This window comes from Homo sapiens, chromosome X (genome assembly GCF_000001405.40).
Source record: "Homo sapiens chromosome X, GRCh38.p14 Primary Assembly".
In the NCBI taxonomy this organism is placed as follows: Eukaryota; Metazoa; Chordata; class Mammalia; order Primates; family Hominidae; genus Homo; species Homo sapiens.
This window is the reverse complement of record NC_000023.11, coordinates 39,744,772-39,765,531: the sequence shown is the minus strand read 5'-3', so window position 1 is coordinate 39,765,531 and position 20,760 is coordinate 39,744,772. Positions and strand designations below refer to the sequence as shown.

Here is a 20,760-nt window from a genome sequence, read left to right as displayed (position 1 = left end):
AGGCTGCTGCTCCTGCCTTATGTTTCAGATATATGCTGCTATTAACAGATTCTTTGGAAAAGACCCAAATCTGTCCATCCATAGCTGCTGGAAACGCTTCTTTATTAACACAATGAGGAGGTACGATGTAGTGGCAAAAGTTTTAGGCCACAGATTCTGAGAGCGTGGACCCCCACCCCACAGCATCAGCATCACTTGGACATTTGTTAGAAAAGCAAATTCTTTTAACCAAGCCCTCCAGGGGATTCCAGTGTGCTAAAGCTCGAGAACCACCACTTTAGGCTAAGACATAGAACCCTTGGCTTGAGACTCAACTTGACCACGCTTGTACCCATCTGTTCATCTTTTGCAGCCTCAGTCACTTCCTCTGTAAAATGGGAGCGATAATGCCTGTCTCCCTGGCCTCACAGAGGATTGCTTGATTCACTGGTGCAGTGAATGTGAGAACAGTTTGCAAAGCCCAACACAAGGCCAGTGATTATTATTAGTAGTAGCCGCTCCATGACAGTTGCAGGACATTTGTGGGTGGTGGGGGAGAGTTAGGAACAAAGGGGAGATTTGATTTTAAGCTGAGGGACTTGAACTCCACTCTGGCTGCGGGGCGCGTGGAGATCATTGTTTTCTCGTCTCCACAGCTGGGAGACTCCCTCTTCTCTCTGCAGGGCTTGCGTGGCTGAGATGATGTCATCACCCCCCACAGACTGGCTTCCTGAGGGCTCGACTCCCCCACCTGAAAGTCACAGGCATTTGAATCCCCCCTCAGGCCTTTCTCCAGCCACTGGTGTTAACAAAGTTTCTAATTCCAGGTTGATTAAAATTCCTGGGTCTGAGCCGCCCTGGGGGAGGGGGATTACAGGGCAACAGTCATGGCAGGGGAGACCAAGTGACAAAACAAGCTGGGCTGTTTTCACCCCCAGCTGCCCCCTTCGGCGTATAAACACAAAGACCACAATGATGGACTCTTGGCAGGTGAACGGGCAGATGGGATGAGCTTACCTTCCCAGTTTAGCAGGCCAGGTGGTCTGTCAACCTCAGATCAAAGCAAACAGAAGGCGGAAGAGGGAACAGCTGGCAGAGAAGCGCAGCGAGTCCAGCAGGCCAGTCCTTAGAGCAGAACCAGTAACCAACCCGTCTGTAGCCTGCTTTGGGCAAGAGCAGAGAGATACCCATCTCATCTTCCTGCTTCACTATAAGAGCTTAGATAAACTCAGATATACTTAGGCGACCATTTAACCTTCTCAACAACCCGACCAAGTGGGGACTATTATTATCTCCATTTTACAGGTGAGGAAGTTGAGACAGAGAATTAAATGACTTGCCCATGTGACAGAGCTGGGATAGAAACCTAAGAGTCTGGCTCCAGAGCCCGTGTTCTTAACAGTGACACTAAACGACCTCTCTCCTAACCCATCAGAGGGATTCTGTGATTTCTTAGGAGCTGGAATATTTTCCTCTGAAGAATTGCATCTTAAATCCATGTTCTGCCCCCAGGGAAGGACTTGTAAAGTTTGGTCGTGATGAAAGGAATCAGAAAATAGAAAATAAAGGTTAACCGTACAGATAATAAAAAATGCCTAATACAAAGGAAAAAAAATCGAACCACACGCCAACCAAATTATAAAGAGAACCAGACTGAGGACAACAATGTGGTTGGGGGCCAGGCGCGGTGGCTCACAACTGTAATCCCAGCATTTTGGGAGGCTGAGGCAGGCAGGTTGCCTGAGGCCTGGAGATCGAGACCAGCCTGGACAACATGGGAAACCCCGTCTCTGCTAAAAATACAAAAATTAGTCAGGCATGGTGGTGCACGCCTGTAGTTCCAGCTACTCAGGAGGCTGATGAGGGAGCATCGCTTGAGCCCAGGAGGCTGAGGCTGCAGTGAGCCGAGATCATGCCACTGCACTCCAGCCTGGGCAACAGAGTGAGACCCTGTCTAAAATATATATATGTATATGTATATGTATATATATATATATATGTATATGTGTATATATATGAATATGGGTATATATATATATGTATATATGTATGTGTATATATATATATATGTATATATGTATATGTATATATATGTATATGTATATATATGTATGTATATATATTATAAAATACATATTTATGTACATTGGTCTGGGTGCAGTGGCTCACACCTGTAATCCCAGCACTTTGGGAGGCTGAGGTGGGCGGATCACCTGAGGTCAGGAGTTCAAGACCAGCTTGATCAACATGGTGAAATCCGTCTCTACTAAATATAAAAAATTAGCCGGGTGTGGTGGCACATGCCTGTAATCCCAGCTACTCGGGAGGCTGAGGCAAGAGTATCGCTTGAACCCGGGAGGTGGAGGTTGCAGTGAACTGAGATTGTGCCATAGCACTCCAACCTGGGCAACAAGAGCAAAACTCCGTCTAAAAAAAAAATATATATGTGTATATATATATTTATGTATATTATATACAATATTTATGTATGTTTTATTTATGTGTATTATGTGTTTATATGTTATATTTATGTATGTATGTTATATATCGCATATTATGTTATATATTTATATATCTATGTATATTATAGATTTATATATTATATATTTATTTATGTATGTTATATATTACATATTATATTAGATATTAATATATATTATGTATATATTTTATATATGCTATATATATATATATAGCCAGGCGTGGTGGCACACACCTGTAGTCACAGCTACTTGGGAGGCTGAGGTGAGAGGATCACTTGAGCCCAGGATGTCGAGGCTGCAGTGAGCCATGACCATGCCACTGCACTCCTGCCTGGGCGACAGAGTGAGGCCCTGTCTCAAAAAAAAAAAAAAAGAAAAGAAAAGAAAAGAAAACATATGTCCAAACAAAACTTTATACAAACACACATAGCAGCACTATTCATAATAGCCAAAACGTGGAAACTAATGTCCATCAATGCTAAGCAAAATGTGGCCTATCCATACAATGGAATATGATTCAGCCATAAGAGGGAATGAGGTACTGACACATGCTACCACGCAGATGAACTGGAAAACATCATGCTGAGTGAAAGAAGCCAGGCACAAAAGGCCACATATTGTATGAGTCATGAGTCCATTGATATGAAATGTCCAGAATGGGAAAATCCGCAGAGACAGAAAGTAGACTGGTGGTTGCCAGGGGCTGGGGGAAGGGAGAGTAGAGAGTGGTTGGTTAAGGGATATAGGGTTTCTTTTGGGGTGAAAAAATGTTCTGGAATTAGATAGTGGTGATGGTTGCACAATATTGTAAATGTACTTAATGCCACCGAGTTGTACACTTTAAAGTATTTACAATGGTGAATTTTATGATATGTAAATTTTACCTCAATTAAAAAAAAATATGGCCAACTACTCCTGCCCTGGACCGGACACTATGGTCGGAAGTATGACTTCTAACTCTTAGAACAAACCTTAGAGGATTGAGATAGTACTAACCTCATTTTACGGACACTGGGACAATCCACAACCTGTACCTTGACTAATGTTGCACAGTGATAAATTTGGGAATTGGATTCAGGTCTTCACTCCCAAGATGTGGGGCCCTTCTGAGAGGGTCCCACCTACCTATAGGGTTGCAGTGCACAGGTCTCAAGGGAATCCCCATTGGGAGGCCAACACCAAAGCCCAACCCCATTCAAGTGGTACAAACTGGTTCCTACGGGGAGGCTGTTTGTACCTCTGCCTCCTCCCACTCTTATCACCTTTCCCCACACCTACTACCATAGCTACTAGCAGGCTGACTCCACAGACTAGGTGGAGGGCTTTGGACATCCCAGTCTCAGGTACCAGGCAAAGGGCAGCCTGGTGCAGGGAACCCAGCAAGACTCTGGTTTCACATCAAACGGTGGTCAGTTTCTGCAGCAGATGTTCTTGGTGGCCTGCCCCAATTCCTTTGACACTCAACAGTCCAGAACGTTCTCTGAGGGCATGAGAACCCCACCTGAGGGCTTGGCAGCAATGCCCTTGGGAACATGTCCCAGGCAATGATATATGGGAACTAGAGGATAAATACCCCAGCCCCCTCACTCCCCAAGTGGGGTAACATTGAGGTATCTTTTATGGAGTCTCTCTGAGAAGCTCAGTGGGGTTGGCCTCCAGTGTCTCACTCTGGTGGCTTGCTCTGGTCTGGTGACCTCCTTTCCTAGTTGCTTCCCTTCCCTGCCCACTTCCTGGCCCTCAGATAAATCCCTTGGCCCCAAATCCTTGCTTCAGGGGCTGCTTCTGGGAGAGCCCAGCTGAAGACACCTTCTCTTGGTCACTTTTGCTTTCTCACCTCGGGCAAGTTCTCAAACCTTCTAGAGCCTTTCAGAGGTGTTGTATGTGAAGAGGCTGACCCAGGGGAGGTGCTGAACAGCATCTCGATGAGTAATCTGACTAGGAAAGATTGAGGGAGGACTAGTTATTATATATTCCACTCCCACACACCTGAGGGATTCAACACATGCCAGATTGCAATTGCAGTGGGGAACTTTCCACACCAAATCTGATCACTTAGGGGTGGCAGCCTGATGTAATCTAGAAAATTTCAGCAGAAGCTTCGCTTCCCTTCCATCCCTGTTCCAGCCCACAGGGCAACTTCTTGGTCAGCGCAGGGGGTTGGTGAGGGGTATGGGTGGAAGTAGGTATCAAGAGTGCCTGGTGTGGCCGAGTGTAATGGCTCACAACTGTAATCCCAGCACTTTGGGAGGCCAAGGAGAGCGGATCACTTGAGCCCAAGAGTTCGAGACTAGCCTGGGCAACAGGGCAAAACCCTGTCTCTACAAACAAAACAAAACAAAACAAAACACAAAGCCAAAAAACACCTAAAAATTAGTTGGGCATGGGTATGCGTCTGTGGTCCCAGCTACTCGGGAGGTTGAGGTGGGAAAATTGCTTGAGCCCAGGAGGCGGAGGTTGCAGTGAGCCGAGATCGCACCACTGCACTCCAGCCAAAAGAGTGCAGAGTCCTTCTTTTGGGATCCCAGGTCTCCCCATGGCCAAAACCGCCCAAAGGAGAATGCCCTTTGGACTGGCTCTGCCTGGGCTCCTGCTTGACGGCTCAGAATACTCCAGAACTAGGATGACAGGCCTGAGGGGGCTGTGGCTGGTCCTCTGGTTTGGCAAATGCCTTCACCCTACCTGGACCCAGCTCTGCCTCTTCTGTCTAGGATGGGACTAGGCTGGCCTGGGGGCTGGGGCGAGGGTAGGGGGCCTAGGGCGTCCTTGCAGAGAGGCAGAAAGCCCCTCTGCTTGCTCGTCTTCACCCTCACGGCAGGCCTGGCTGCAGACTTGTTTGCTTTCAGTCCTGTGAGCTTTTTCCTCATACACACAGCTGACTGATTTTCTTCTCAGAGTGTGTGTGTGTGTGTGTGTGTGTGTGTGTGTGTTTGTGTGTGGTGTGTGGTGTGGGTGGTGGGGGGTTGTCTGTGAATGAGAAAGAAGTAAATAAAATACCTCAGGCGGGTGGGTCTCTGTCCTGTGTGCCCAGGCTGCCAGCCTGGCACCTGCCCAAGGTCTCTGGGCAAAGCCCTGGTCCACGGAGGAGCGGGGCTGTCTGGAGGGTGCCGGGGGAGGTGAAGGTGTCTCTGAGTCTGTGACCTTACCATCTAGGCTCTTGGGTGACTCCCCGAGGTGGCTGGCTGGTTTTGGTGAGCTCCGAAGCTGAGGAGGCTGCCGGGGCTGCCTGGGGCTGCCTCCCGCCTCTCTGCCACATTCTTTTTCTCAGACAAACAGATTCCTTTGCTCACTGGAACAGCCGAGCTGGAGGAGCAGCTGTGAAAACAAACACGCGGCAGCTGACTGGAGGGCTGCGGGCTGTTTTCTGGGGGCTGCCTGGGCCCACAACTCCCTTTCTCCCTTCCAGCCACAGTGGGTGCCCTGGCTCCAACCCAGGAAGGGGAGGGTGGCCCCGTACTTTTGCTGCCTGGGAGTGGGCCAGCCCTGCTCCCTGGGTTTTCCTCACAAACGCCATCCTCAGGTGGTTCTTGGCAGGCCTGGCGCCTCTTTGAGCCCCCTGACCGGCTGTGACTGTCTCCAGCCAAACCTGGAGAGAAAATATTTAGAGAAGGGGCCCCTCTCCCCTACTGAACACAGTCAGCTTTCAGTGCATTCGGAGTGGTCCTGGGCCGCCCTCCTGAGACACCCTGGGGTGCCTTGGGTGGGGTGGTGCTCCTCTGAAAGGAGCACAGTAGGCCCTGGCAGAGTTTCAGACCCTCCCTGAGTCTGTGGGCCACGTGGACAGCATATCACAGCTCTGATTCTATTCTACAGCGAGTGATGAACCATTTGCATATTGGAACTGGAAAAGACCCCTCAGAGGTGAGGAAACCGAGATCCAGATGGCGGCGGGGGCCCACAGCCTGTTAGAATATTCTGTCTTCTCCCCTTCTTGGTGTAGCACACTCAGCCCAGGGTTACACAGCGTGGGATTATCAGCCAGGGCGCCAAGGCCCCAGCCAACAGCTCGCAGCTCTGCAACTGGCACGCGTCTTCCATCTGGGTGCAGCTCTTCCAGCACCCGGCCACGTGATGAGCAGGAGCCTAGCCAGGGATGACCTGCCCTGAACCTGAGCATACCCAGCCAGGGATGCTGAGTTGTCCCCAGGTGATCCCCTTGCAGTCATCAGTCCTTGGGCCTGGGCTGACCCTGGAGGCCATTGCTTCAGCCAGGCGGCTCTCAGCAGCTGAGACAGACCCTGATGTGGTTGAGAGCTGAGAGGCCGGGTGGCAGATCACAGTGTCACCATAGGTAATGGTGGTGATGTCATTACTCTAAGCTTGTGAGCACTTTGGAAGCAGGACTTTGACTGTGTGGCTCACCTGTCTCCCTGGTCCCCCACTGGTGCCTGACACCCACTAGGTGCTTACGGATTGTCTGTGGGAGGATAGGGTCATCCAAGCCCTCAGCTCCAAGCCTCCTTAGGAAATGTGCTCTGCTTCTAAGTTGGCAAGAGGATGGCCCTTTCATAGATTCTCAGGGCTAGAGAGAGAATTTCACAGGGAGCAGGAGTCATTTTTGGCAGTATTTTTTAAAAAATTAATAGAGACGCTACGTTGCCCAGGCTGGTCTTAGACTCCTGGCCTCAAGTGATCCTCCAGCCTCAGCCTCCCCAAATCCTGGGATTATAAGCGTGAGCCACTACGCCTGGCTCTTGGCAGTATTTTTATTGGACTTCAGTATTTCCCATGGATGTCAGAGCTTCGATAAACGGCAGCCAGTGCTCACGAATGAAGACATTGCTCAGCTTTGGTCAAATTAGATTGTGTTTGAATCCACAAAGAGGAAATAGGGTTGCAAGCCAGGCATTGTGTGGAGAGAAAAGGGTTTCCTACATTCCTTTAATTCCTACTCAGTGTATCAAGAGGGATGGGAAGAGGCATCAGGAGAGGCTGTTCCTCCGGTCTGGGAGGACTGTGGAAAGATGGAGCTGGAGCTGGGGGAAGCAATGTGATCTACTCTGGGATCTGCCCCGAGGGAGGGAAGTATGTTGGAGAGGGGAGGGGGCATGCCTCAGGCAGTGGTATGTTTGCTCCCGGTTGTAGGGAGGGTTGGGAGAGGACACAGTATGAAGGCGGCACCCCGCATTCATCCAGTGGACTCTGCTTAAGAAAAACTCAATGAGTGGCATGGTGTGGTAAGCAGAGCTGACCTTAGTTCCTTGGGTTTGGCGATGGTGCCCCTGTGTGGGGATGGTGGAAAGTAGGTGTGTCGAGGCCCCGTGGGCCTGGGTCACCGTCCAGATGGCGGACATCACAGTCTTCAAGGGGAAGCACAGCTGGCCTGTCTGGGTGATGGGGATGACAGTGCATGCACCCAGAGTTGGGCCAGGAGTTGTCCAGCCTCAGACTTTAGTCAGGGAGAGCCATCTGCACCTCAGCAGTTACCATTCAGGGGCAGCCTAGACCAGCCACTCCACTGCAATGAGACCTGATTTCTCTGCCTGTGTAAGGTCTCATGCCCCTTTGCTGTTCAAAGTGTGCTCTGAGGCCCAGCAGCCTTGGCATCACCCAAGAGCTTGGTAGGAGTGCACAATCTCAGGCCTGCCCCCAGACCTGCTAAATCAGCATGTGCACTTTTCACAAGCTCCCCAGGGGACTTGTTTGCACATTAAAGTTTGAGAAACACTGACATAAGTTCTATTCCCTTCCTCCATACACCTAAACTCCATCTTGTAGAAGAGAGGGGTGGTGGGGTGGGAATCTGGGAGAGCCTGGGCATTTGCCTAAAAGGACCATTTAAACAATTGTACTGCACTTAGTCTACTCTGTACAACTAAAATGTCATCACCCCACCCTGCCTTGCTATGCTCGACCAAGAATGGATCCTCCATAGACAAAGTAAAGAAATGAGATCTTCTTTTGCACATGTGACTGTAGTGTGAGTAGATTCGTGAGTTGGCTATGTGCAAAAGAAGAGAGTATGGCTGAGGGCAAAGGCATGCAGCCAGTTAGTGATAGAGGTGGCTAGAATTAGAACCCATATGCTTTTTTTTTTTTTTTTGAGACAGAGTTTTGCTCTTGTTGCCCAGGCTGGAGTGCAATGGCGTGACCTTGACTCACTGTAATCTCTGCCTCCCAGGTTCAAGTGATTCTCCTGCCTCAGCCTCCTGAGTAGCTGGGATTACAGGCATCTGCCACCATGCCCAGATAATTTTTGTATTTTTAGTAGAGACAGGGTTTCACTATGTTGATCAGGCTGGTCTCGAACTCCTGACCTCAGGTAATCCACCCGCCTTGGTCTCCCAGAGTGCTGGGATTACAGGCATGAGCCACCGTGCCCGGCCAGAACCCATCTGCTTTGACCTTGACTTTTTGCCGCCGCTACTTGAAGTGTGCTCGGTGGGTGAGTGCCAGTCCACAGCTGTCTGGCACCTGTCCTCAGTGAGCTAAGTACAGAAACTGGGAGCAAGTGTTTAGAAACTTTTATAGCAAGTCAACAGAGTATGTGTGTGTTTGTTAAATCTAACCGTAGAGGTTTGGGCTTGTGTTTTATGTTGTGTTTTTTTCTGCTTCATTTTTCCAGCAAATCATTTTTATTGTACTTTACAGAAGTATCTGTCCATAACGGATTGGAATTAATTAACAAACAAACACAAACAAGACTGGTCCTACATCCGTAGCTTCTTTGAGAAACAATGCTTTTGGCCGTGCCATTTCAAGTCAAGAAGAGAGATTCTGAAAAATATGAAAACATCTAAGGCTTGCCCCAGTCTGGGCAAAACGCATGAGCACTCACGCCTGAGGGGCCGGACTAACTTGGAAGGCATGGGTTATCATTTCTTTGTGTCCTCAGATTTCCCAGTGTCCACCCTGCCATAGGGAAGTCGGGGGGCAGGCATTCGTGGGGGACCTGGGGCTAAGTCATCCCATCTCCTGGCGCCCCAGTTTCCTCTCCTGCAACTGGGTCACCGGCAAGTGGGTCAGAGGTGCAGTTCTTCCCTGATGTGGCTGCTGCCTGCTCCGAAGAAGCAGATCTTTGTCAGCCTCCAGAGCTGCAGAAGGACACTATCTTGGGCATGAATATCCCACAGCAGCAGTGCTTTTCTTCTCTCTCCGCCGGACCTGGCTCATTCTTGTCTGGCAGAGGAACAAGCGATTTCTTTTTATGAGCCTGCAAACCTCCAGCCTCCCAGCCTCCCAGCTGGCTGGGTGCCAGGGCTGGGCCTGACACACAGGCTGACGTCCCCACCCAGACCCATGGTCCTGGCTGCTCCGAATTCTGGAGCGTCTGAGTCACCATGCCTGAGCCGGCGGCGTCTCCATGAAAGAGTTCAGAAGAATAAAGGAACAGGCTCTCCTATGGGCCTGCTGATAGCAATCTATCAGCATGACTACATTTTGGCCTCCTTTTTTTGCTGCCTCTAATCCAGCAAAGCAGGCTGTGGGTGTCTGATGGTGAACTGCCTAGCAGGGGAGGGAGTCCATCAGAGTTCCCTTCCCAAAGGCGATCGTGTGGGGAGTGTAAACCTCCCTCTGTCCTTCCCCCACAGTACTGTTGGTTTCTGCGCATGATGGAGTAGGGTGGGAGAAGGAGGCTTTTCTGGCTCGTTTGTCCGGGATCCTGAGACTACCCGGCCTCCACTGAGACGTGTGCAGGCCAGAGGGGCACCATCCACCTGCAAGACTACGGTGTCTGGAGGCGCTTGGCTGATTAGCCCTGCGGCTGGCCCCCAGTTTAATGAGCGTGGCGCCTGGTGTGCAGCTCAACCCCTGCTTGTTTAGACAGCCTTGCTGGCTGTGCCACGTGTCCCCTGCACCAGGCCGAGGAGGGGCAGCCCCCTGAGAAAGCCTGTTCCTTTATTCTTTCAGAACTGAGCCCCGGCTGCCCCGGCTTGGGTCAAAAGGCCTGCTGGGGCCTGGAGAGTCTTATTTCCTGAGGGGCTGAGGCCGGCCAAGGGGGCAACAGACAGTGGGGGACACTCGTGGATACAGGTGACAGGGCAGCAGGGGCTGCAGCCAATCTCTCCCTTCCCTGACCAGCCTCCCGGAGCTGAGTGCTGGCCGCATTGCTCTGGCCTCCCTGGGATTTCACATTTGATCGCTTTTCAGTGTGGCTGCAAAGGAAGGCTGCAGGAGCCATTTGGTGGGCACTGGCTGGGTCCGTTGTTAGCAGCATGGTGGGGGACAGAGTGGCTTTCCTAAGATGGAAAGCCTGTTGGTCCTGATTTCTGTACACTCTAAGGCCTTGGCCCTGTCTCCTCCTAGCACGGCACCCTAGGCCATCCTTGGTCCTACCTCTCCTGATGCTGCCCCTCCCCCAATATTTATGCTCCACCCGGCAGCCAGAGTGGACTTTATTTTTATTTATTTATTTATTTATTTTGAGATGGTGTCTCACTCGGTAGCGCAGGCTGGAGTGTAGTGGCATGATCTTGGGTCACTGTAACCTCTGCCTTCTGGGTTCAAGAGATTCTCCTGCCTCAGCCTTTTGAGTAGCTGGGATTACAGGCACCCACCACCACACCTGGCTAATTTTTTATATTTTTAGTAGAGATGGGGTTTCACCATGTTGGCCAGGCTGGTCTTGAACTCCTAACCTCAGGTGATCCACCTGCCTCGGCCTCCCAAAGTGCTGGGATTACAGGCATGAGCCACTGTGCCCAGCCTTAATTTTTATTTTGTAAACTTTTGATTTTGAAATAATTACAGACTTGAAAACTTGCAAAAGGAGTGCCAAGACTTCCTGAATCTACTTTCCTCAGATTCCCCCAATGTTAACATTTTTACCAATTTTTGTGTGCTTTCTCCACACACACACATTTCTGTTTTCCCTGAAGCTTTTGAGATTAAATTTTAGACATGATGCTCCTTGAACCCTGAAATATTTCAGGGTGCATTTCCTAAAAACAAAAACAACAAGGATGTTCTCTTAAATAACCACAGTACGGTTTATCAAAATTGGGAAATATACACAGATATTTACACAGATGTTACCTGATCCCCAGATCTTATTCAAATCCTGTCAGTTGCTCCACTAATGTCCTTCAAAACAAAAGAAAAGAAATATTTCTCTGGTTCAGGATCCAATTCAGAATTGCACACTGTAATCTGTTGTTGTGTGCCTGTTGTGTAATCTGTTGTTGTGTGTCCTATAATCCAGCATAGTCCCTTAGTCTATCCTTGTCTTTCATGACATGAACACTTCTGAAGAATAAGGGCTGGCGATTTCATAGACTGACCCTTAGTTGGGCTTTGTCTGATGTCTCTCGTGATCAGATTCAGATACTGCATGTTTCGCAGGAATGCCACTCAAGTGATGGGTGTCCTCCATGCATCGTATCAGGAGGCACGTGATGCCCATTTGTTCCATTACCGGTAATGTTAACATTGATCACTTGGCTAAGGTGGTGTTGGCCTGCTCTCTTCACTATGTTATTATTTTTCCCTTTAAAACTAATAGTATCTTATGGCTAGAGCAATTTTTTTTTTAAATGGCAATCTGATGACGTCACCTCCTTTCCTAACCCCAGCTGAAATCCTAACTCCTTATCTTGGTGTGCCCAGCCCTATGTGATCTGGCACCTGCTGAGCTCTGTGATGTCATCTCCTATCACATTCTTCACTCCCCCTCCTCCCACCCGGTTGGGGAACTCCAGGCACATTGGCCTTCCTGCTCTTTCTAGAACATACCTCTCTCATTCCAGCCTCAGGGCCTTTGTACTAGCTCTTCTCTTGGCCTTGAATGCTCTTCCTCCAATAATCACATGCTGGCTTCTTTGTGTCCTCCCAATCTCAGCTTACATTTCACCAGAGGGAGCTCCCCAGGCACTCCACCACAGCACCCTGGTTTGGTTCTTAGCATAGGACTTTCTACCAATTGACATTTGTACATTTATTTGTTCTTTGTCCATCTCCCGCAGAAGAAGAAAGCAGGGACCCCATGTACCTCGCTCAGTGCTGCGACTAGGTCCACAGTTGCGGAATGAATATTGATCAAAAATTTGCTGAATGAATGCAAGATGAAGGATTGCTCAGTAACGCGTTGCAAGCTGGGATCCTAACCCGGAAGTCTTGGAGTCCTGCCAGATTGTCTATGTTGGCTGCAGTGCAGCTCTGCTGGGCTTGTACTCAAACAGGGCAGATGGCAGCAGAGTAGCTAAGGGCTTCCTGCATGACTCTATTAAGGGGAGATGGAGGAAACAAGAAGTAATGATGAGATGGGGTAGGAAAGTGAAGGTGCCTTTGAGCCCTAAAGTACGGATCCTTCCCACGATATCTTCCTTCCTCCTTTCTTTCTTCCCTTCCTTCCTCCCTCCCTCCTTTCATCTCCCATCCTTCTGCCCTGTGTCACTGACCATGAAGTGAAGATGGCCTGGGGTCTTCTTTCTCCCCCAGTCCTTCTGTCTTTGTTTCTTTCAGGGAATGTGTTAGTCAGCTCTGGTTGCTATAACAAAAAATGGCAGACTGGGTGGCTTAAACAACAGTAATTTTTTTTTTTTTTTTTTTGAGACTGAGTCTTGCTCTGTCACCCAGGCTGGAGTGCAGTGGCGCAATCTCAGCTCACTTCAAGCTCCGCCTCCTGGGTTCACGCCATTCTCCTGCCCCAGCCTCCCCAGTAGCTGGGACTACAGGTGCCTGCCACCACGCCCGGCTAATTTTTTGTATTTTTAGTAGAGGCGGGGTTTCACTGTGTTAGCAAGGATGGTCTCAATCTCCTGACCTCATGATCCGCCCGCCTCTGCCTCCCAAAGTGCTGGGATTACAGGCGTGAGCCACCGTGCCTGGCACAACAGTAATTTATTGTCTCACAGTTCTGGAGGCTGGAAGTCCAAGATGAAGGTGCCAGCAGGGTTGGTTTCTGGTGAGGCCTCGTTCCTTGGCTTGCAGGTGGCCACCTTCTCTCTGTTTCCTCACATGGCCTTTCCTATGTGCAAGTACAAAGAAAGGGTAGGATAAGTTCTCTAGTGTCTCTTCCTCTTCATATAAGGATACCAGTCCTTTTGGATTAGGGCCTTACTCTCATGACCTCATTTCACCTCAATTACCTCCTTAAAGGCCCTGTCTCCAAATGCACTGGGAGTTCAGGCTTCAACGTATACATTTTTGGGGGACACACTTCAGTTCACAACAGGGAGAGAGCTTTGATTCTTGGCAGAAAACCACAGAGATTCTCCTAGCAGTTAGGTCCCCCAGGAGGTGTCTTCTCCCTCTCTTAATGCTACTGGACCTTAGGCTTCATTTTGAGAAATCCTCCTGGCCGGGCATGGTGGCTCATGCCTGTAATCCCAGCACTTTGGGATGCCGAGGCAGGTGGATCACTTGAGACCAGGAGCTCGGGACCAGCCTGGACAACATGGTGAAACCCTGTCTCTATTAAAAACACAAAAATTAGCTGGGTGTGGTGGGTGCACGCCTGTACTCCCAGCTACTCAGGAAGTTGAAGCGGGAGAATCACTTGAACCCGGGAGGCAGAGGTTGCAGTGAGCCAAGATCACGCCACTGCACTCCAGCCTGGGCGACAGAGTGAGACCTCGTCTCAACCAAAAAAGAAAAAAAAAAAAGAGAAATCCTCCTGGACATGTCAAGATCCACCTATGTAATGTCCACTTTCATGGAATGAAATTGGCTCCTCTCAGGTGGGCCCTACCGAGAGAATCTTTAGGTGGCAAGATAGCGAGTGAGTAGTGCTGCACATGGACCCTGGGGTGCTGGGATTCTGTTCTGAGGTTCATCTTCGTGTGTGTTTGTGTGTGTGTGTGTGTATGTGTGCGTGTGTGTGTTTGTGCATGTGTGTATACACCAACATGCACATGCTCTCTGGTTAGAATTGCTAGGCAGGGATGGGCAGCTGGCTCCCTCTGCCGTGACCTATCCCACTTTGGACACTTGATTCCGCCAACCTGTGCCCCCTTTAGCCCTCCCAGCCCAGGTGTGGCCCAAGATCCCTGCCTTTTTCTCAGGAACCCACAGAAATGAGGTTGGAACTTTCTAGAGGGCTTTGTGGTAGCTGGGGGACCTACATATGCTAGCATAAAGGATGTGGGCAGAGCAGGCAGCTGTTGCAATGATCTTTTGCTATATAACAAACCATTGCAAAACTTAGTGACTTAAAATAGTGACATTAATTTTGCTCACGAGTGTACACTTTGGGCAGGACTTAGCAGGGACGGGTCTTCTCTGCTCTACTTGGTGGCAGCTGGGGTGGTTGGAAGCTGCGGCCTGGATTATCTGAAGGCGTGCTCACTACCATGTCCGGTGGTTGATGCTGGCTGTCGGCTAGTATGTTAACTGGACTTGTGGATCAGAACACCTATATGTGGCCTCTCCAAGTGGTTGCTTGGCTTCCTCACACTATGGCAGATGGGTTCCAAGAGTAAGTGTCCCGAGAGAGAGCCAGGCGGAAGCCACTGCATCTCTTCTGACCTAGCCTTGGAAGTCACCCAGGATCACTTCCACCATATTTTATTCATTAGAAGCCAGTCACTAAGGCTGGCCTATGTTCAAGGAGAAGGGATTTAGACTCCAGCTCTTAATGGGAAAGAAAAATGTCAAAGAATTTGCAGCCACATTTCAAAATCTACCGCAGTGGCTCACTGCTTCCTTCCCATTCATGCAAGACTTGAGGCTTGGGACTCTTCCCTTTCCAAAGCCCTGTCTCCGTCTTTACAAGGTCACCGTCGTGTCACCTACCACCCAGTGGTGCCTTTATGGAAGCCAGAGCAGGAGAGAGAGCCATCCTTTCCTGGATCAAGGCCAGACCAAGAAGAGGCAGTCCTCTGGGCAGAGGAATGATTTGGTGCCCCTTCATACAGGCAAAACCAGATTTCCTATCAGAACAGCATTTGGCTGCAAGTGACAAAGAGATCTAAAAGAAGGCTGCAGTGTATTCCTCTCTTGCATAGCAGTCTGGAGGTGGCAGTCCATGGCTGACATGGCTATTCTGCTTATGAAGTCCATGGGGACCCAGGCTCCCTTTATTGTGCTGCTCTGCCATGCATGGCCTCGTCTCCAGGTCACCTTATGGTCAAAGACAACTACTGTAGCTGCAGTCAGTATATCCATGCTGTGGCCAGCAGAAAGGAGGAAAAGATCAAGAAGTAGAAGCAGAGGGTGCCCGCAGCTATTTTGTAAGGAAAGTTCCCAGGCCTATCACGTGATACTTCTGATTGTATTTCATTGGCCAGAACTTCTCCATATGGTCACTCCTAGCAGTGGGAGGCTGGGAAACGTAGTCTTTATTCTGGATGGCCATGTGTCCCGCTAAAATTGCTCATTCTCTCAGCATGGAGAAAAGAGAGAAAAGATGCTGTGGGTCAAGAAGCAGACTATGCCAAACTTATTAATTAAAAAATTTTATGTGTGGACAGATTTACTTACTAATTTACCTACCCTGGCTAGAGAAAAATTAATGGTCTAAAACAACAGCAAAACATCTTACCCTTTTTGTAGTTCTTTCCCTCACATCAGTTTTCTTTGGCAATTTCTCAAGGAGGACAACTGGGCGGGGTTATGTTGAAGAGTTTACAAATTATTTAATATAATGAATCCTTGTGTGTAGTAAATAAGAAAGCTACACCATGCTTTACTTATTTCAGAATTTTAGCTGATGGCAGCTATACGTGTGTATTACAAAACTACCCAAAGAGAGGGGTCAGTGCCAGCCACGGGTGTTTTTAAAATTTCCATATAAGGCTGCTGTTTACTTTGGTAGGAGCTTGTGGAAACTTGCGTCAACCAGCATGGGTATTTCTATTTATTCCAGTGGTATTTTGGACCCTCTAACAGGCTGGTGCCTTGGGCAGCTACCCAGCTGGCCTGCTCAGCTAGCTCTGTGTCTGAGGACACTCAATAGGACTTTATTATATATGTGTATATGAGACAGGGTCTCACTCTGTCACACGGCTGGAGTGCAGTGGCACGATCATGGCTCACTGCAGCCTCAAGTTCCTAGGCTCAAGTGATCCTCTTGCCTCACTTCCCCAGTAGCTAAGACCACAGGCATGCACCACCATGTTTGGCTAATTTTAAATAATTTTTTTTTTTTGTAGAGACGGGGATCTTGCTATGTTGCCCAGGATGGTCTTGAACTCCTGGCCTCCAGACGATCCTTCCACCTCAGCCTTCCAAGGTGCTGGGATTAAAGGCATGAGCCACCACGCCTGGCTGGGACTTTACAATTTAGAGAAGACCTGATCTCTACCTAAACGGTATGACTTTGGCTCCATGGTCCTTAATAGGTGAATTGTGCCTCCGTATACTATAATGACCTGGATATTTATACAAGAGACTGGATTAGTTTTCCAGGGGTGCTGTACCAAAGTACCACAGACTGGGTGGCTTGAACAACAGAAATGTATCGTCTTATACTTCTGGAGGCCAAAAGTCTAAGGAGGCCTAACGTCAAGGGGTCACCTGGGCCACGCTCCCTCAGAAGATTCGAGGGAAGGATCTGTTCCAGGACTCTCTCTTAGCTTCTGGTAGTTCCTTGGCTTGTGGCCATGTGACTCTAATGTCCACATGATATTCTCCCTGTGTGTGTCTGTCTGTGTCCAAGTTTCCCTTTTTTTTTAAAATAAGGACAACAATAATATCAGATTAGGGACCCACCCTACAGAATGACCTCATCTTAATTAATTACATTTGCAATGACCTTATTTCCAAATAAGGTCACATAATGAGATACTGCAGTTTAACAGTTTGGGGGAAACACAATTTGGGGGAAACACAATTCAACCCATATTAGAGACATCCACATAGAGGGAGATGTTATGTGTGTTGGAGTATGTGTGCGTATTGTCTTTTGTATGCTGTGGCCTGAAGCTTCCTGACTGGGGGGAGGTGGTTTCCACCAGTGATAGCAAGATGCTGATGGAGGCCGGGCATGGTGTCTCACGCCTGTAATCCCAGCACTTTGGGAGGTCGAGGTGGGCGGATCACCTGAGGTCGGGCGTTTGAGACCAGCCTGACCAACATGGAGAAACCCTGTCTCTACTAAAAATACAAAATTAGCCGGGCATGGTGGCACATGCCTGTAATCCCAGCTACTCAGGAAGGTGAGGCAGGAGAATTGCTTGAACCTGGGAGGCAGAGGTTGCCGTGAGCCGAGATCGTGCCATTGCACTCCAGCCTGGGCAACAAGAGCGAAACTCTGTCTCAAAAAAAAAAAAAAGATGCTGATGGAAAGAAGTTCACGTGAAGGCCTTTGATTCTTTCCCGGTAAAGACAGGGCAACTGGAGCTGAGGTGGGGTCTGAAATTGGCCAACCACATGCAATATCTAGAGCAGGGGCATTGCCACCCATCAGAATGGGCATCTGGAGGCAGTTTTAGTTGGTTGTAATATAGCAGGATGCTCGCAGCTGTAGTCAGTGACTTCAGTTCTAATAATAAAAAGCCCACTCCTCCAAATGATGCAGGCAATGGGGAGATTATTATCCTCTCCTATCAAGAAGCCCAGAGGCAGGATGATTCCCGGTTGGTGAATTCAGTGCTCATTGATGTCATTGGAGCCCCAGGTTTGTCCCACTTTTTGCTTTACCATCCTCAGCATGTCAGCTTTGGTCCTCTGCCTTGCCTCTTGTTTACAAGATGGCTTCATTGGCTCCAGGTGTCACATTCCAGCACAAGTCCAAAGGCTTGAGGAAAGAACACTTCTTCCTCAAGTTCTTTTCAAAGAGCTCTAGCCGACTTCTTCTCACACCTCTTTGGGCAGAATTGTGTCATTGGGAAAGGAAATGGAGTTGCCAGGATTGGCTTTGACTCATCAAACTCTACTCTCTGGGGCTGGAGGGGTCAGTCGCCCTTGATGCATACAACTGCCCTTTCCCTGAACAAAATCAGGATGAGGTTGGCAGGGAAGAAGGGATGGAGGCAGGCTTACTGGGAAGGCAACTCACAAAATCCACCACACAGATCTTGATTAAAGTGGAGGGACAGGGGGCTTTCTCTGACTCTGGTGGGGGTGGGGTGTGACAGCAGAGATGGGAGAGAGGGAGTGCCGTGAAGAGCCATCAGTCGATACGTTCTTAGAATAACACTTCTCATCAGGCACTGGGTCTGACTTTAAGCTGACAAATGATTTTCCTTCACAATAAAAGTACAAACAGAATCCTAATTAATGAATTTGCCAATAGCTGTTGCCTATTTTATGGGCCTTAGCCTAGATTCAGTCTGTGGACAGGATGAGCGAGTGTGTGTGTATGGACGTGGCCATAAATCACCCAGGGTCCAGGACAAGGGCTGTCTGGTTGGGATCTTCCTAGGCAGCTCTTCCTGGGGGAGCCTGGGCTTGCCACAGCAGCCACGATAGCCACGAAAGCCATATAGCTATGACAGCCATGATCCTCATGGGACACTCAGCAGCCCAGGCAGCCCTGTGACAGTGTAGACTGACTCTAGCTCACTGCTGCTGCTTCTTGTGGCTGAGAGGATTAACATTTTTCTCAAGAGGTCATTGGCCCAATCTCCTGAAGCCCCTGAGTGGGTATTTTTCCTTTCACCATTTCCACCTACAGAGAGGCCATGGGCCCTTCAGTAACCTACCTGGTATTGAGGAAATGCCTGGGAAAGGTTATTCCATTTGGAGGTGGGGCTGTGCCTGCATCATGCATTCTACAGCCAGGAGTCTGATTGTGTGCTGGGCACTGTGCCTGGGCAGGAGGGGCAAGGACAGATGAGGCTGCCCAGGTTCTCATTCTCAGGGGCTCAACCGTCTCGCCTGGGTGATGGTCAGAGGTACCACGGGGGAGGAAGAACCCTCCATGAGCTCTTTGCTTCGTAGGGAAGCCAGCAGAAGGGGGAGACGTGGTGAGGCCCACTCTCAGGACATGAAAATGGCAGCTTTGGCAAGACTATGGGACAACAGACTTCAGATACCAGAGAGAGCATGAGGTAGACATTCTGAAAGATTTGCTAAAGTTCAAGGTAGCATGGGCCACTTGCCTTTTGAGAAAGCTCCCAAGTGATTCTGATATACTTGCCCTTCCCTCTTCACTTCCTTCTCCCCACACTGTCTTGGTAATAATCGTCAAGTTACAAGAAAATAACTAATAACCTCCCACATGCTTGAAGATAGTTGATCATCTACCTGTTCTATAGCCTTTGTGCCCCCATTTCATTTCATCTGCCTGCACAGGCCTGTTTCCCAACTATTGCTAATGATTAATAATTTGTTTAGTATTAACTGAGCTTTCCATTTTTTTTTTTTTGGTTAACATTTTCCCAGCCATTTGTTACAATTCTTCAAAACCAACTCTTTGCCTTCACGCAGCATCAATAAATTAATTTCTTTTATTTTTTGGCTTTGATGTGGCTGAGAAAGCCTGGTGTTCCATTTGCAATGCCTGGCCCTTCAGTATTTCTCTGGTCTTTCCAGGAGTGAGATAAACTGTGCAGGTTGGCATTCAGTGGGGCAGTCCCTAGGCGAACCCCCAAAGTGAACTCCCTCGGGGGGATATTCTCATCCTCACGATCAGACACTACTGAGTAGATTTCTCATCTGTCCACGTCGGTGCCATGTAAATGTTTTATTTCCCTCAGAATCTTAGAATTACTATCACTCAGTCCTGCTGACTTACAATCATGTGGTTTTCCATGTCTTTTTCTCACTTCGTCTTTTGTGACAAGTTATTCCTGTGGTCATCATCAGTATGGCTCTTCCAAGAATTCTCTCTCTCTTCATTTCCCTTTGCTACAGTGGGCTCTTGGGGCTGGAAGTTTCTGAGTGCTACTAATGCCCTGCAGACACCATGATCCCATCTCTTCTTGGCTGGTACCTCTGGCAAAGTGAGTCTCAGTGACCTGTCGCTTTTAGCACTGAGGCTGTTTCCTCATCTTTAAAATGGCTCTTTGACCAGATGTGGTGGCTCACGTCTATAATCCCAGCACTTTGGTAGGCCGAGGTTGGCAGATCACTTGAGGTCGGGAGTTTGAGACCAGCCTGACCAATATGGAGAAACCTTTTCTCTACTAAAAATACAAAATTAGTCGGGCGTGGTGGCGCGTGCCTGTAATCCCAGCTACTCAGGAGGCTGAAGCAGGAGAACTGCTTGAACCCGGGAGGCGGGGGTTGCAGTGAGCTGAGATTGTGCCATTGCACTCCAGCCTAGGCAACAAGAGCAAAACTCTGTCTCAAAAATAAAATAAAATAAAATAAAAAGGCTCTTCTGAGGTTGGAACATGATAATACTTTTTTTTTTCTTTTCTTTTTTTTTGAGACGAGGTCTTGCTCTGTTGCCCAGGTTGGCCTCAAACCCCTGGGCTCAAGTGATCCTCTTGCCTCGGCCTTCCTAGTAGCTGGGATGACAAGTGTGTGCCATCAC

At 48.9% G+C, this 20,760-nt stretch overlaps 1 long non-coding RNA gene across 1 annotated transcript, besides 2 other annotated features; it reads right to left on the bottom strand.

The window, feature by feature from the left end:
- Nucleotides 1–429: 429 nt before the first annotated feature.
- On the bottom strand, nt 430–5,695 carry LOC105373178 (uncharacterized). The gene is made up of 3 exons (XR_949026.2): nt 5,606–5,695; nt 997–1,139; nt 430–730 (listed from the first exon to the last, which is right to left on the bottom strand). It is a non-coding gene; the product is annotated as an uncharacterized LOC105373178 (long non-coding RNA).
- Nucleotides 9,892–10,841: an enhancer, noted in NCBI's record as "H3K27ac-H3K4me1 hESC enhancer chrX:39613945-39614894 (GRCh37/hg19 assembly coordinates)". NCBI's record gives its function as "activates a minimal SCP1, AML or CMV promoter by ChIP-STARR-seq in primed H9 embryonic stem cells {active_cell/tissue: H9 hESC(primed)}" and the evidence as "EXISTENCE:reporter gene assay evidence [ECO:0000049][PMID:30033119]".
- Nucleotides 11,687–12,886: an enhancer, noted in NCBI's record as "BRD4-independent group 4 enhancer chrX:39611900-39613099 (GRCh37/hg19 assembly coordinates)". NCBI's record gives its function as "activates an origin of replication core promoter dependent on BRD2, P300/CBP, MED14 and CDK7 cofactors, and independent of BRD4, by STARR-seq in HCT116 cells {active_cell/tissue: HCT116}" and the evidence as "EXISTENCE:reporter gene assay evidence [ECO:0000049][PMID:35650434]".